Here is a 13,565-nt window from a genome sequence, read left to right on the forward strand (position 1 = left end):
TGAGTCCATTAAACCTCTTTCTTTTGCAGATTGCCCAGTCTCAGGTATGTCTTTATCAGCAGCATGAAAATGGACTAATATGTCAAGTTAACACATTGACTTCCCAAATTCTGAGTGAATGAAACCATATAAATAAATTTAGCCCTTACCATCCTTTATGTTTTCTTTTCCTTAGACAAATATCTATTTCCATACATGCTTCTCAGTATCCCTCTAATACAAATTAGCAAGGTCTCATTGCTCCTTTGATGTATAAGCCAGTGTTCTGCTCCAGGTCCAGGCATTATGAGTAGAGTATTTTAAAACAACAATAGAACCAACCAAATGTGTTCTACTTTTTATGATCACTATGTGCTGGCAATAGTAAACTGTGAGTGACAAAATACCCACCCTGCTGTACCATCACCTGTCCCCTTTCTCTTGCAGTGCCTCTGTTCTCTAAGAACTAAACTGGTAATTATCTCCCTGGGCTATGATGGGTTTGACTGTTTTTACCCAGACAGTCCATTATTACCTTTATTATTTTATTAGTTTATTATTATCAGTCTTTTTTTTTTTTTGATATGGAGTCTCACTCTGTCACCCAGGCTGGAGTGCAGTGGTGTGATCTCAGCTCACTGCAAGCTCCGCCTCCCGGGTTCACGCCATTCTCCTGCCTCAGCCTCCCGAGTAGCTGGGACTACAGGCACCTGCCACCATGCCCGGCTAATTTTTTGTATTTTTAGTAGAGACGGGGTTTCACCGTGTTAGCCAGGATGGTCTCCATCTCCTGACCTCGTGATCAGCCCGCCTTGGCCTCCCAAAGTGCTGGGATTATAGGCGTGAGCCACCGTGCCTGGACTATTTTCAGGCTTTATTGCCTAGAAAAAATGAGAAGAAATGGGAATTCTTCCTCAGAGATAATGGGCACCACCTTGTTATATAACTGACCCAAAAGAAGTTTCTGAAAGACTCATGTGAGGGAAGTTAGTTTCCTCAGACAGGGGAGATAGGCCCACTCCCATTGACAAGGAAGGTTCAGCAGGACTTGGGGGTTTCAGCTTTGTCTTTCTCTGACCAAATGTACTCATCTAAGAGTCCTATTCCTTCTCAAACAGTGCCCTGATTTAGAATAAAAGACTTGGCAAGATTCTGCTTTTAGCTGGCATTATAACTCTACAACCTGCACAATTAGATTTTAGGGCCTGTAACCCAGCCGTATCTGCCCTGCAGCTGCACAAAATGTTCTTTTGTTTTTTTTTTTTTTTTTGAGATGGAGTCTCGCTCTGTCGCCCAGGCTACAGTGCAGTGGTGCGATCTCGGCTCACTGCAACCTCTGCCTCCTTGATTCAAGCAATTCTCCCTGCCTCAGCCTCCCAAGTAGCTGGGATTACAGGCACCTGCCACCATGCCTGGCTAATTTTTGTATTTTTAGTAGAGATGGGGTTTCACCATGTTGACCAGGCTGGTCTCGAACTCCTGACCTCAGGTGATCCGCCTACCTCAGCCTCTCAAAGTGTTGGGATTACAGGCATGAGCCACCATGCCTGGCCATGAAATATTCTTTTGAGAAGAATGGAAGCCTTCTGGTCCTTCATCTATACCATCTTATGTTGGAATGTCAAGGCCTAAAACTTGTTTTTTTTTTCTTTTCATAAGCTCTATAATGCAGTCAGAAATAGCCATCTAGCCCATCATCTTTTTTTTTTTTTTCTTCTTCTTCTTCTTTTAGACAGAGTCTTACTCTGTCGCCCAGGTTGGATTACAGTGGTGCCATCTCAGTTCACTGCAACCTCTGCCTCCTGGGTTCAGGTGATTCTCCTGCCTTAGCCTCCTAAGAACCTGGGATTACAGGCATGTGCCACCATGTCCAGCTAATTTTTGTATTTTTAGTAGAGACAGGGTTTCTGCCATGTTGGCCAGGTTGGTCTTGAACTCCTGGCCTCAAGTGATCAGTCTGCCCTGGCTTCCCAAAGTGCTGGGATTACAGGCATGAGCCACTGCGTCCGGCCTATTCCACAATCTTTTGCAATACCCATTGTTGCTACCAATAATCACTTGACCATGTAAAATTTCTTCCCTACTGACATTCCATCCCATGTCACCACTGGCAATAATTTGAATAATCTTGCTGTCATTGCATGCTACACATTATCACTATCAAGAATGAATCTCATCATGAGGTTGTCAAATATGTGTTTAAACTGGTCCTAGAATTCCAACTTGAGGAACTGTTTCTGGGAGCCACTCCTTGTGCCAACTAGAGTCAGGTCTGACAGTAAACAGTATCTCACTCCAATGGTTCAAAAGATTTTAAGGAAGAAACTATATACAAAAGTGTGGGGAGGATTAAGGGAACCAATAAAGGATGCTGAAGTCTCCAGAGACTACCAACAGGGGAAACCATTGTCACTCCTAGGTCTGAAGGGGCAAGGAGAGAAAATATTACTGTTGCTCAGAGAGGGTTGGAGGATCATAGGAGGAAGTTCTACCTCAAAAGCTATATATATAGTGGGATGTAGCTCCTGCCAGCAAATATGGCTCAGAGCTGACAGGGAGCAAAACAGGAGGCTTCTAAAGCTGCTCTCTTCTCAGCCTTAGCCTATTGATGCCTCTTGGTGGAATTAGAAGCAAGCTCATAAGAAGCCCAGGTGGCGTAGTCTGAAGGAATGAACATCAGTGGTGACAGTTGCATGGTAGACACACCTGACAGTGATAACGTAAGCATACCCTGAGAATGACCCTATATTCTAAGAAGATTGTGTGTTCACAATTCCAATCTAAGGAATCTAGTAGTAGCCAACCAGAGATTCATTTGGAGGTTGTTGTCAGCTGGGACTCCAAACTGCACTCCAAAGCTGGGACTCACCACTGCACTCCAAACCTGGGTCACAAAGTGAGACTCCGTCTCAAAAAAGAAAATTAAGGCCAGATGCGGTGGTTCACGCCTGTAATCCCAGCACTTTGGGAGGCCAAGGCAGGTGGATCACGAGGTCAGGAGTTCGAGACCAGCCTGGCCAATATGGTGAAACCCCGTCTCTACTAAAAATACAAAAATTAGCCGGACGTGGTGTCGCGTGCCTGTGGTCTGAGCTACTCAGGAGGCTGAGGCAGGAACATCACTTGAACCTGGGAGGCGGAGGTTGCAGTAGGCCGAGATTGTGCCACTGCACTCCACCCTGGACGACAGATGGAGACTCCATCTCAAAAAAAAAAAAAAAAGAAAAAAAAAGAAAAAAAAAATAAATACATTTGTAGGAGTTTTTAAAGCCACAGAGTTTAAAACTTTTGTGGTTTTTAGACTTTTTTTAGAGACTAGGTCTCACTATGTCACCCAGGACAGAGGGCAGTAGCACAACCATAGCTCACTATAACCTTGAACTCCTGGGCTCAAGTGAACTTCTGAGTCTCCCAGAGTCCTGGGATTATAGGTGTGAGCCATTGTGTGCGGCCCAAAAACTATTTTTTTTTTTTAGAGACGGAGTCTCGCTCTGTCGCCCAGCCTGGAGTGCAGTGGCACGATCTCAGCTCACTGCAAGCTCCACCTCCCGGGTTCATGCCATTCTCCTGCTTCAGCCTCCTGAGTTGCTGGGACTACAGGCGCCACCACCACGCCCAGCTAATTCTTTTTTGTATTTTTAGTAGAGACAGGGTTTCACCATGTTAGCCAGGATGGTCTCGATCTCCTGACCTCGTGATCTGCCCGCCTCGGCCTCCCAAAGTGCTGAGATTACAGGCATGAGCCACCACGCCTGGCCCCAAAAACTATTTTTTAATTCAACATGAGTACATGTTGAAGAGAAGAAGTATGACAGGTGATGAAGAAAATTACTTTCAAGGATAAAAATAATTTCATTAGAATAAAATTCTGTCGGATAAGTGCAATAAAAATAAGTTCAGAAAAAGGAACCATGGAAAATTTCCAGTTGTTCACAAAAAGTGTATGGGTTTTTTGTTTTGTTTTGTTTTGTTTTGGGTTTTGTTTTTGTCCAGGCTGGAGTGCAGTGGCGCCATTTTGGCTCACTGCAACTTCTGCCTCCCGGGTTCAAGTGATTCTCCTGCCTCAGCCTCCTGAGAAGCTGGGATTACAGGCGCATGCCACCACACCCAGCTAATTTTTGTAATTTTAGTAGAGGCGGGGTTTCCCCATGTTGACCAGGCTGATCTTGAAGTCCTGACCTCAAGTGATCTGACCGCCTCCGCCTCCCAAAGTGCTGGGAATACAGGTGGAGCCACCGTACCTGGCCAAGTTTGTGTGTTTTTAAAAAAAGTCTTATAGTTATCACATCACTATTATATTTACATTCCTTTTCATACACTTAAAAGAGAGCTGTAACAATTTCAAAACGTGAATATTTATAATATGACAGAAATTTAATCCTTTAAAGTCAAGATAAAAATTTTAGATGTCAATACAAAAAATGTGTGAAAAGATATATATGTGTGTATGTGTATATATATATTATATATATATTATTTATATATGCTTTTAGGGAGTATCTGGGCAAAACGTTTTAGGAACACAGGAAGAGGAGGTAGATGTCTAGTTTAGAGACTCACACTATAAAATATGGTGCCCTGACAATTTCTGGAATTTTTGTCTCTTTTTTACAGCCCTCAAAGTTCAGAGAGTCTCAGGATGTAGGTCAATTTAGGACTAAAAGAGAATTCTAGATATCTTGAAGGATTGGTACCTAAGATTACGGTACCTAAGATTACGGTTATATGGCTACCTTATGCAGTTAAAACTCTTATGTTTGGCCGGGCGGGGTGGTTCACGCTTGTAATCTCAGCACTTTGGGAGGCCCAGAGGGGCGAATCACGAGGTCAGGAGTTAAAGACCAGCCTGGCCAACATGGTGAAACCCATCTCTACTAAAAATACAAAAATTAGCTGGGCATGGTGGCGCGTGCCTGTAATCCCAGCTACTCGGGAGGGTGAGGCAGGAGAATTGCTTGAACCTGGGAGGCGGAGGTTGCAGTGAGCCGAGATCCCGTCACTGCACTCTAGCCTGGGCTACAGAGGGAGACTACGTCTCAAAAACAAACAAACAAAACAAACAAACAAAAAACTCTTACATTTACTGTTTTGAAAACCTATTGGGAACATCAGTTTGACAAGAAATATCTTTAAAATTCTGAACAAGAGACTTAAAAATGAACTTTGAACATACGACAGTTTAAAGCACATTTATATGCAGAGAAAGACTTAAAAATACAATTTCTGCCAAGTGAAATATTAAACAGCATGTTTCATTATATTTGCTATAGATGCCAAAAGAGTTGCCATTTTCAATGAGGTATGTTTCCTGCTTATGTAACAGTCATTTATCATAGAAGCTGTAAAATGCAATCTGGAATTTCTCTTGCCAAATTGCTGCCTGTTCTTGACATTTTATATTATTAAAGCTATAAAATCTATAAATACTTTTAGCACACTTTCACTAAAAGCAGCACTAGTAAGTAGCAGGCCTTGTCTTGTATTTCAGTAGCCACGTCAAAACTTCTGAGCCAGGCGAAATAGAAAGAGGGGTCCTAGGGTATTTTATGCCCAGGGCAACAAACGCCAAATGCTGACGTAGATAGCACTTATTCGGTTTTGCCAGGAGCTGTGCTAAGTGATTTTCATAAAATATGTAATTTAACCTACAGGCAACTCCATGTGGTATTATTTTCACTTTTTTACATAGAAGGAAATGGAAGCTTAGAAAACTGAAGCAATTTACCGAAAGTCAGAGTTAACAGAGCAAGGAAACCTGAACAGTGTGCAGCCTCCGCTCACCAGAAAGTGTCAAAGAATCACATTTACTAGTACTTCAGACAGAAATTCTGCGAAACAAGGCGTATCTACTCTTGTTTTACTCCCAGACACTTCCCTGTCCCGCTTAGATCAGTGGTGGTTTTCACTCAAATTTAAGTGTGTAACAGTGTCCCCGGGAGGGCTCTGTTCAAACAGATTGTTGTACGCGCCCCCTACCCCTGCCCACCCCGAGTGTTTGATTCAGTAGGTCTAGTTTGGGATCGAGAATCTTTTTATTTTGTTTTCCTTTTGTTTTGTTTTGTTTTGTTTTTGAGACAGGGTCTCGCCCTGTCGCCCAGGCTGGAGTGCAGTCGTGCCATCTCGGCTCACTGTAGCCTCTGCCTCCCCGGCTAAAGTGATCCTCCAGCCTCAGCCTCCGGAGCAGCTGGGGCCACAGGCAAGCGCCACCACTGTAGGCTAATTTTTTTTTTTTTTTTTTTTTTTTTTTTGTAGAGACTGGGGTCTCACTATGTTGCCCACGCTGGTCTCAAACTCCTGGGCTCAAGCGATCCTCCCGCTTCAGCCTCCCAAGGTGCTGGGATTACAGGTGGAGCCACCGCGCCCGGCATCGATAATCTGAATCTCTAACGAGCTCCCGGGCGACGTTGATGCAGCTGGTACCGGGACCACTCTTCGAAAATCATCGGTTTAGAGGTTTTAATTCTGAATCCATTGCGAAAACTGTTGGGCGGACAGAGCACTACTAACTCCTAACTTTTCTCAGAAAGCTGGGCTCTGCTTTCGCCAGCAACCCGGTCCGAAGTCGCGGGCATATTCTGTCTGAAATCGTGTGCACCGAAATCCCCGCCTTGCGGTGGAGGCTGGCGCTAGGCGGCCTCAGCCTCGGCCTGCTGCGCTCAGGAACCCGCGCCCCGGCTCCTCGGCGATCCATTGCTCTTTCCTCTGGCGCCGGCCGCAGGCCTCGGTCACGCCCCCAGCGGCCCGTTGGTTTCCGGGTCCCGCGGGGTGCCCCCGCCCACACGCTATGCCTTAAATTGGGCCAGGCTGAGGCGCTGCTGCTGGAGCGGCCGATCCGAGACGTGGCTCCCTGGGCGGCAGAACCATGTTGGACTTCGCGATCTTCGCCGTTACCTTCTTGCTGGCGTTGGTGGGAGCCGTGCTCTACCTCTATCCGGTGAGCGCCGTCTTGGCTCTCTGGGGCCCCGGGCGCCGCCCCAGTCTCTCTGTCGCCGGCATCCAGGCCAACCTGCCCGCTGCGGGCCGCAGGGGGCGGGCCTGAGAGGAGGGTTCGGGTTCGCTCCAGAGCTTCAGCGCGGGGACCGCACCCGGAGTCACGTGACGCCCCTCCCGGCAAGCTCTGAGAGCGACGTGGGCTGCGTCGCTACCCCTCAGGCGCCGGGCCAGGCGGGCGTAGAGCTGCTGAGGAAAAGCCCGCGCCCCCGCAGGCCGGTCTCACCTTGCCAGGCACCCCGCGCCACTCTCCAAGGCGGCTCTCAAGTACTTTGGGCAGCTTTTTGGCCATAACTCGCCAAACCCAAATTTCATTTCCCAGTGTGTCAGGACGAGACTCCTGGGCGCGCCACTCCTTTCTCCTTTCTTGAGGATTCTCCCAGCACTTGTGTATTCCTCTTTTCCATCTGTCCATCGATCTATCCTGACTGGAATCCAAAGTGCTCGAGGTCCAGGTCTTGCTCCTCTTAGGGGCTCCAGGCAAATGCTTCTTTGGGGAGAGCGCCGCGCTGCGGGTTCGGGTGCGAGGTTTCCTCTGCCGCTGACGCCTCTGCGAGCCTCCGGTCCTCCTCTCTCCACTTGCCTCCGTCAGCGAGAGAGGGAGGGTCTGAAAACAAAAGTGTTGATGACTGAGGACCGTCTTTAAAACCTGTTCTACACACTTTGGGAGGCTGAGGCGGGCGGATCACGAGGTCAGGATATCGAGACCATCCTGGCCAACATGGTGACACACCGTCTCTACTAAAAATACAAACATTAGCTGGCTGTGGTGGCGGGCGCCTGTAATCCCAGCTACTCAGGAGGCTGAGGCAGGAGAATCGCTTGAACCTGGGAGGCGGAGCTTGCAGTGAGCCAAGATCGCACCACTGCACTGCAGCCTGGCGACAGAGCCAGACTCTTATCTCAAAACAAACAAACAAACAAACAAAAAACACCTGTTCTACAAAGCAAGGTGGTGGTTTTACAGTGAAAGTTGAAAAGTAGCTGAACTGCTGGAATTGACCATACACCTTCTTAAATGTTCTTTTCCGAGCAGGTAAATGGATTAGACTAGAATCTTGCAACTACACAATCAGGGACTTCCTGAAATCTTATTTTCTGAGAAACTAAACAATTTTAGTGGTTCTTGAATTTTTGGTGATTTTAAAATGATACTCTTCTTTGATCAGCTCATAGAAGCACACTGTTTATTCTTAGCACTAGCTATGTGCCAGATATGGTTCCACGTGCTGGGAATCCAGCCGTGAAACAAACCGGACAGAAAATTCCTGACTCTTGGAATTTATTTCCTAGAGAAGGGGAACAGACAATAGAAACAAATAACATAGGATTGTGGGTAGAAATAAAGTTGGGGATAGGTAGATTGTTATTTTAAAGTAGGATGGCCAGGAGATACGGAGACATTTGAGTAGAAACGCGAAGAAGGTGAAGGTGCAAGCCATTCTGAGAAAGAGCATTCTGGGTCGAGGGAGCAGCAAATGCAAACCTTCAGAGGGAGACACGCCTGGTGTGTTCCTGGAAAGCAAGGGGACCAGTGTGGTTAGAGTGTAGTAAATGAGGAAGATACCAGAGGAGAGAAAGTCAGAAAGATGGGAGTGAAGGACAAATTTTAAATGACTTGTAAGGCTTTTTTAATGGACTTTTGCTGTGTGCCACTGGAGGATTTCAGCAGATGAATGCCATTTGAAATTGGATAGAATTCAAATTTAATTTTATTAGATAAATTTTAAAAGAATCATTGTGGTTGCTAAGTCATGAATTGACATGGGTCTCCAGGTAAGGATGGAAGCAAGCCAAGTAATTAGGAGGATATTATCATTTCAGCTTGGATCATGGTAGTAGTGGCACAGATAATGAGAACTAGTCAATTGTGAAGATAGTGCCAATGGGATTTCCCAGTGGATTGGATGTGAAATGTGAAAGAGAGGCATCAAGGAAAACACCAGTTATTTTTAGCCTGGTATCTGGAAGGATAGATTAATTCCAGGGAAGATCAGGGGTTTTGCTGGTGGTGGTTGTTCTTTAGTTTTGTTTTGGTGGGAGGTAGTGGGGATTTATAGAGATTAGGAGTTGGTTTTGGGTGGGCTAGGTTTGAGATGCCTGTTAGACATTCAAGTGGAGATGTTGAGGAGTAACTGAATATATGTCTTGAGTTTATGGGAAAAGTCCAGGCTGAAGATACACATTTGGGAGCTATCAATGTATAGATGGTATTTAAAGCGAGGAGAACTGGTTGCTATCTCCCAGACAATTTAGATACAGGAGAGAAGAGGTCCCAGGGACCATTCCCTGGATTCTCCAATGTTAATGGTTGAGGAGAGAAAGAAGAGCCAGCAAAGGAGACTGAGAAGGAGCAGCCACACAAATAGAAGGAAGCCAGATGTTTTAAGCAGAAGAGGATAATCAGCTAAGTCAAATGCTGCAGATATTTTAAGTTAAGGCCTAATAATTTGATAACATTGGTAATCTTTATTTTTTGTTTTGTTTCATTTAAGAGACAGAGTCTCACTCTTGCCCAGGCTACAGTGCAGTGGTACCATCATAGCTCATTGTAACCTCAAACTCCTGGCCCCAGGCGATCCTCGCACCTTAGCCTCTCAAGTTGCTGGGACTACATGCTCATGCCACCACACCTGGCTAATTTTTAAATTTTTTATTTTTTATTTTTTGATACAAAGTCTCGCTCTGTCGCCCAGGCTGGAGTGCAGTGGCATGATCTCTGCTCACTGCAGCCTCTGCCTCCCAGGTTCAAGCGATTCTTCTGCCTCAGCCTCCCAAGTAGCTGGGACTGCAGGCACACATCACCACACACAGCTAATTTTTTTATTTTTAGTAGAGACAAGATTTCACCGTGTTGGCCAGGCTGGTTTCGAACTCCTGACCTCAAGTGATCTGCCCACCTTGGCCTCCCAAAGCACTGGGATTACAGGCATGAGCCACCGTGCCCAACCTAATTTTTTAATTTTTTAATTTTTTATAGAAATGGGGTCCTGCTTTGTTGCCCAGGCTGGTCTCGAACTTCTGGGCTGAAGTGATCCTCCTGCCTCAGCCTTCCAAAGATCTGGGATTACAGGCATGAGCCACCGCAACATTTGTAATCTTAAGAAGAGCGGTTTCAGTGTAATTGGGGTGATAAACCTAAATGGTGTGGATTCAGAGATATCAAGTATAGATAGCTCTTTAGAGTTTTGCAGTAAAGGGGGCTGATAACTAGAGAAGGAAGTGAGGTGAATTTCTCTTAAGGTAGGAGAAATTACATTATGCTGATGAGGGCTGTCAAGTCATAAAGGAGAAACTGATGATGTAAGAAGCTTATGGCCAGCACGGTGACTCAAGCCTATAATCCCAGCACTTCGGGAGGCTGAGGTGGGAGGATTGCTTGAACTCAGGAGTTTGAGACTAGACTGAGCATTATAGTAAGACCTTGTCTCTAAAATAAATAAATAAATAAGACATGGTGGTGAGCGTCCGTGGTCCCTGGTCCCAGCTACTTGGGAGGCTGAAGCAGGAGGATCGCTTGAGCCTGGGAGATCGAGGCTGCAGTTAGCCAAGATGGCGCCATTGCACTCCAGACTGGGTGACAGAGTGAGACCATGTCTCAAAAAAAAAAAAAGCTTAGGTTGCATGGTCTGTTACTATAACCACTCCTTTGCATATACCTTCAATTCCTTTGCCCTGTATCCATTTGTCATAATCATCTAGCAAACCCTAATTGTGATTAAATCAAATGCTCTGTCAATTCCGCCCCTGAACCCACACAGCTGGAAAACAAACAAACAAACAAAACACAGGCAGAAAAGAACACAGCCATACTGACTAGTCTCATTTTAATTCATAAACCTTAAGTGGGGTGTCTGGAAATCCCCTGGTGCATTCACTCTCCAAATCTTCTAGATAACTTTTCATTCCTTCCCTGTCTTCAAATCTTCTGTCTTCACCAATAACTGATAATCTCTTGTTTTTTTGAGACGGAGTCTTACTGTGTCACCCAGGCTGGGGCTGGAGTGCAATGGTGTGGTCTCGGCTCACTGCAACCTTCACCTTCCGGGTTCAAGCGATTCTCCCACCTCATCCTCCCGAGAAGCTGAGAGTACAGGCGTGTGCCACCACAGTTGGCTAATTTTTGTATTTTTAGTAGAGACAGGGTTTCACTGTGTTGGCCAGGCTGGTCTTGAACTCCTGACCTCGTGATCCACTCTCGCCTCTTTCTTTTTTTTTTAGACAGAGTCTCGCTCTGTCTCCCAGGCTGGAGTGTAGTGACGTGATCTCGGCTCACTGCAACCTCCGCCTCCCGGGCTCAAATCCCGCCTCAGCCTCCTGAGTAGCTGGCATTACAGCACCCACTACCACGCCCTGTTAATTTTTGTATTTTTAATAGAGACGGGGTTTCAACATGTATGCCAGGCTGATTTTGAACTCCTGACCTCAAGTGATCCGCCCACCTTGGCCTCCCAAAGTACTGGGATTACAGGTATGAGCCACTGCGCCTGGCCTCTTTTTTTTTTTTTTTTTTTTTTGAGACAGGGTCTCACTCTGTCACCCAGGCTGCAGTGCAGTGGTGTGACCTTGGCTTACTGCAGCCTTGACCTCCCAGGCTCAAGTGATCCTCCTGCCTCAGCCTCCTGAGTAACTAGGACTATAGTGCTGGCCACTGCACCCGGCGAATTTTTTGTACTTTTTAAAGAGACGGGGTTTCCCCGTGTTGCACAAGCTGGTCTCAAACTCCTGGACTCAAATGATCGTCCTGCCTTGGCCTCCCAAAGTACTGGGATTATCGATGCAAGCCACCACACCTGGCCTATTTCATTGAAAAAATGACACCAATCTGGAGATAATTTCCAGACCACCCTGCCTATCTGCCTAAATTTGTGCCCTTATATTCCACGTTACCTCCTATTACTGTGAACTGGCTATGCTCCCAATTAAATGCCCCCGCCCCCCGTCTCTTCACTCCTGTACTAGATCTCCTACCTTCCCACCCACTCAAGAAAATGGCTCCGGCACAGCAGTTTTTCCTTATTTTTCTTTTGAGACAGAGTCTGACTCTGTCATCCAGGCTGAAGTGCAGTGGTGCAATCACAGCTCACTGCAACCTCCGCCTCCCAAGTTCAAGTGATTCTCATGCCTCAGCCTCCTGAGTAGCTGGGACTACAGGAGTGTGCCACCATGCCCAGCTAATTTTTGTATTTTTAGTACAGATGGGGTTGCCATGTTTGTCAGGCTGGTCTTGAACTCCTGACCTCAAGTGATCATCCACCTCAGCCTCCAAAAGTGCTGGGATTACAGGCAGGAGCCACTGCGCCCGGCCCAGCACAGCAGTTTTCTTCTGTTTCTTGCATCATCATAATGAAAGTGGTAGAATGGACCTTGATTTTTTTTTTTTTTAAAGCCAAACCAGCTGGGACCATATATAAACTCACAACAAAGAAAACGACGAAAAATGTACTGGATATGTGTTAGTTGATGTAGAGTGTATATTAAATTTTTCAAACACCTTAGTTTAACTGACAGAGGAAGAATAATATCCTGAATGAAATAATTCTTTTTTTTTTTTTTTTTTGAGACGGAGTCTTTCTCTGTCGCCCAGGCTGGAGTACAGTGGCGCGATCTAGGCTCACTGCAAGCTCCGCCTCCCAGGTTCACGCCATTCTCCTGCCTCAGCCTCCCGAGTAGCTGGGACTACAGGCGCCCGCCACAACGCCCTGCTAATTTTTTGTATTTTTAGTAGAGACGGGGTTTCACCGTGTTAGCCAGGATGGTCTCTATCTCCTGACCTCGTGATCCGCCTGCCTCGGCCTCCCAAAGTGCTGGGATTACAGGCGTGAGCCACCACGCCCAGCCTTTTTTTTTTTTTTTTGAGATAGAGTCTTGCTCTGTTGCCCAGGCTGTAGTGCAGTAGCACGATGTTGGCTCAGTGCAACCTCTGCCTCCCGGGTTCAAACAATTCTGCCTCAGCCTCCCGAGTAGCTGGGACTACAGGTGTGTGCCACCACGCCCGGCTAATTTTTTATATTTTTAGTAGAGAAGGGGTTTCACCGTGTTAGCCAGGATGGTCTTGATATCCTAACCTCGTGATCTGCCCTCCTCAGCCTCCCAAAGTGCTGGGATTACAGGCCTGAGCCACTGCGCTCGGCTGAAATCATTCTTTAAAAAAAAATTTTTTTTTTTTTTTTCATTTTAAGTTCAGGGGTACAAGTGCAGATTTGTTACATAGGTAAACTTGTATCAAGGGGGTTTGTTGTACAGATTATTTCATCACCCAGGTAATTATTAAGCCTAGTACCCATTAGTTGTTTTTCCTGATCCTCTCACCCTCCGAAAGGCCCCAGCATGTATTGTTCCCCTCTATGTGTCCATGTGTTCTCTTCATTTAGCCCCCACTTATAAGTGAGAACATGTAGTATTTGATTTTCTGTACCTGTGTTAGTTTGCTAAAGAAAATGGCCTCCAGCTCCATCTGTATCCCTGCAAAGGACATGGAAATCATTCTTTTCCATGCAAAGAACCCCTTTTTTTGTATTTTAATATGGAAATAATTTCTTAGATTCAGCTTAATTGGAAAGCTATTATTTAAGGTCCTGCAGATGTGTTGGTGA

The 13,565-nt window shown here is 46.0% G+C and overlaps 1 protein-coding gene across 19 annotated transcripts in view, besides 5 other annotated features; it reads left to right on the forward strand.

The window, feature by feature from the left end:
- Positions 6,498 to 6,547: an enhancer, noted in NCBI's record as "active region_17009". NCBI's record gives its function as "activates an Ori minimal core promoter by ATAC-STARR-seq in GM12878 lymphoblastoid cells {active_cell/tissue: GM12878}" and the evidence as "EXISTENCE:reporter gene assay evidence [ECO:0000049][PMID:35858748]".
- Positions 6,618 to 6,827: a silencer, noted in NCBI's record as "silent region_12253". NCBI's record gives its function as "represses an Ori minimal core promoter by ATAC-STARR-seq in GM12878 lymphoblastoid cells {active_cell/tissue: GM12878}" and the evidence as "EXISTENCE:reporter gene assay evidence [ECO:0000049][PMID:35858748]".
- Positions 6,797 to 13,565, forward strand: part of CYP20A1 (cytochrome P450 family 20 subfamily A member 1) — a 67,009-nt gene continuing 60,240 nt past the window's right edge. For 17 of the 19 annotated variants that reach the window (NR_163985.1, NR_163981.1, NR_163982.1 and 14 more), the window contains exon 1: positions 6,797 to 6,913. Coding sequence is in view for 3 of the 19 variants with exons in the window: in NM_001371695.1 (NP_001358624.1) it covers positions 6,842 to 6,913 (72 nt within the window). In the remaining 16 variants the exon portion in view is untranslated. Of the gene's footprint in view, positions 6,914 to 7,119; positions 8,006 to 13,565 lie in introns of those variants that run through there. The other 2 variants (NM_001371698.1, NM_001371705.1) reach the window with 1 other exon arrangement.
- Positions 6,833 to 7,404: an enhancer, noted in NCBI's record as "NANOG-H3K27ac-H3K4me1 hESC enhancer chr2:204103777-204104348 (GRCh37/hg19 assembly coordinates)". NCBI's record gives its function as "activates a minimal SCP1, AML or CMV promoter by ChIP-STARR-seq in primed H9 embryonic stem cells {active_cell/tissue: H9 hESC(primed)}" and the evidence as "EXISTENCE:reporter gene assay evidence [ECO:0000049][PMID:30033119]".
- Positions 6,833 to 7,517: a biological region, named in NCBI's record as "NANOG-H3K27ac-H3K4me1 hESC enhancer GRCh37_chr2:204103777-204104348".
- Positions 7,228 to 7,517: an enhancer, noted in NCBI's record as "active region_17010". NCBI's record gives its function as "activates an Ori minimal core promoter by ATAC-STARR-seq in GM12878 lymphoblastoid cells {active_cell/tissue: GM12878}" and the evidence as "EXISTENCE:reporter gene assay evidence [ECO:0000049][PMID:35858748]".

This window comes from Homo sapiens, chromosome 2, assembly GCF_000001405.40.
Source record: "Homo sapiens chromosome 2, GRCh38.p14 Primary Assembly".
Lineage (NCBI taxonomy): Eukaryota > Metazoa > Chordata > Mammalia > Primates > Hominidae > Homo > Homo sapiens.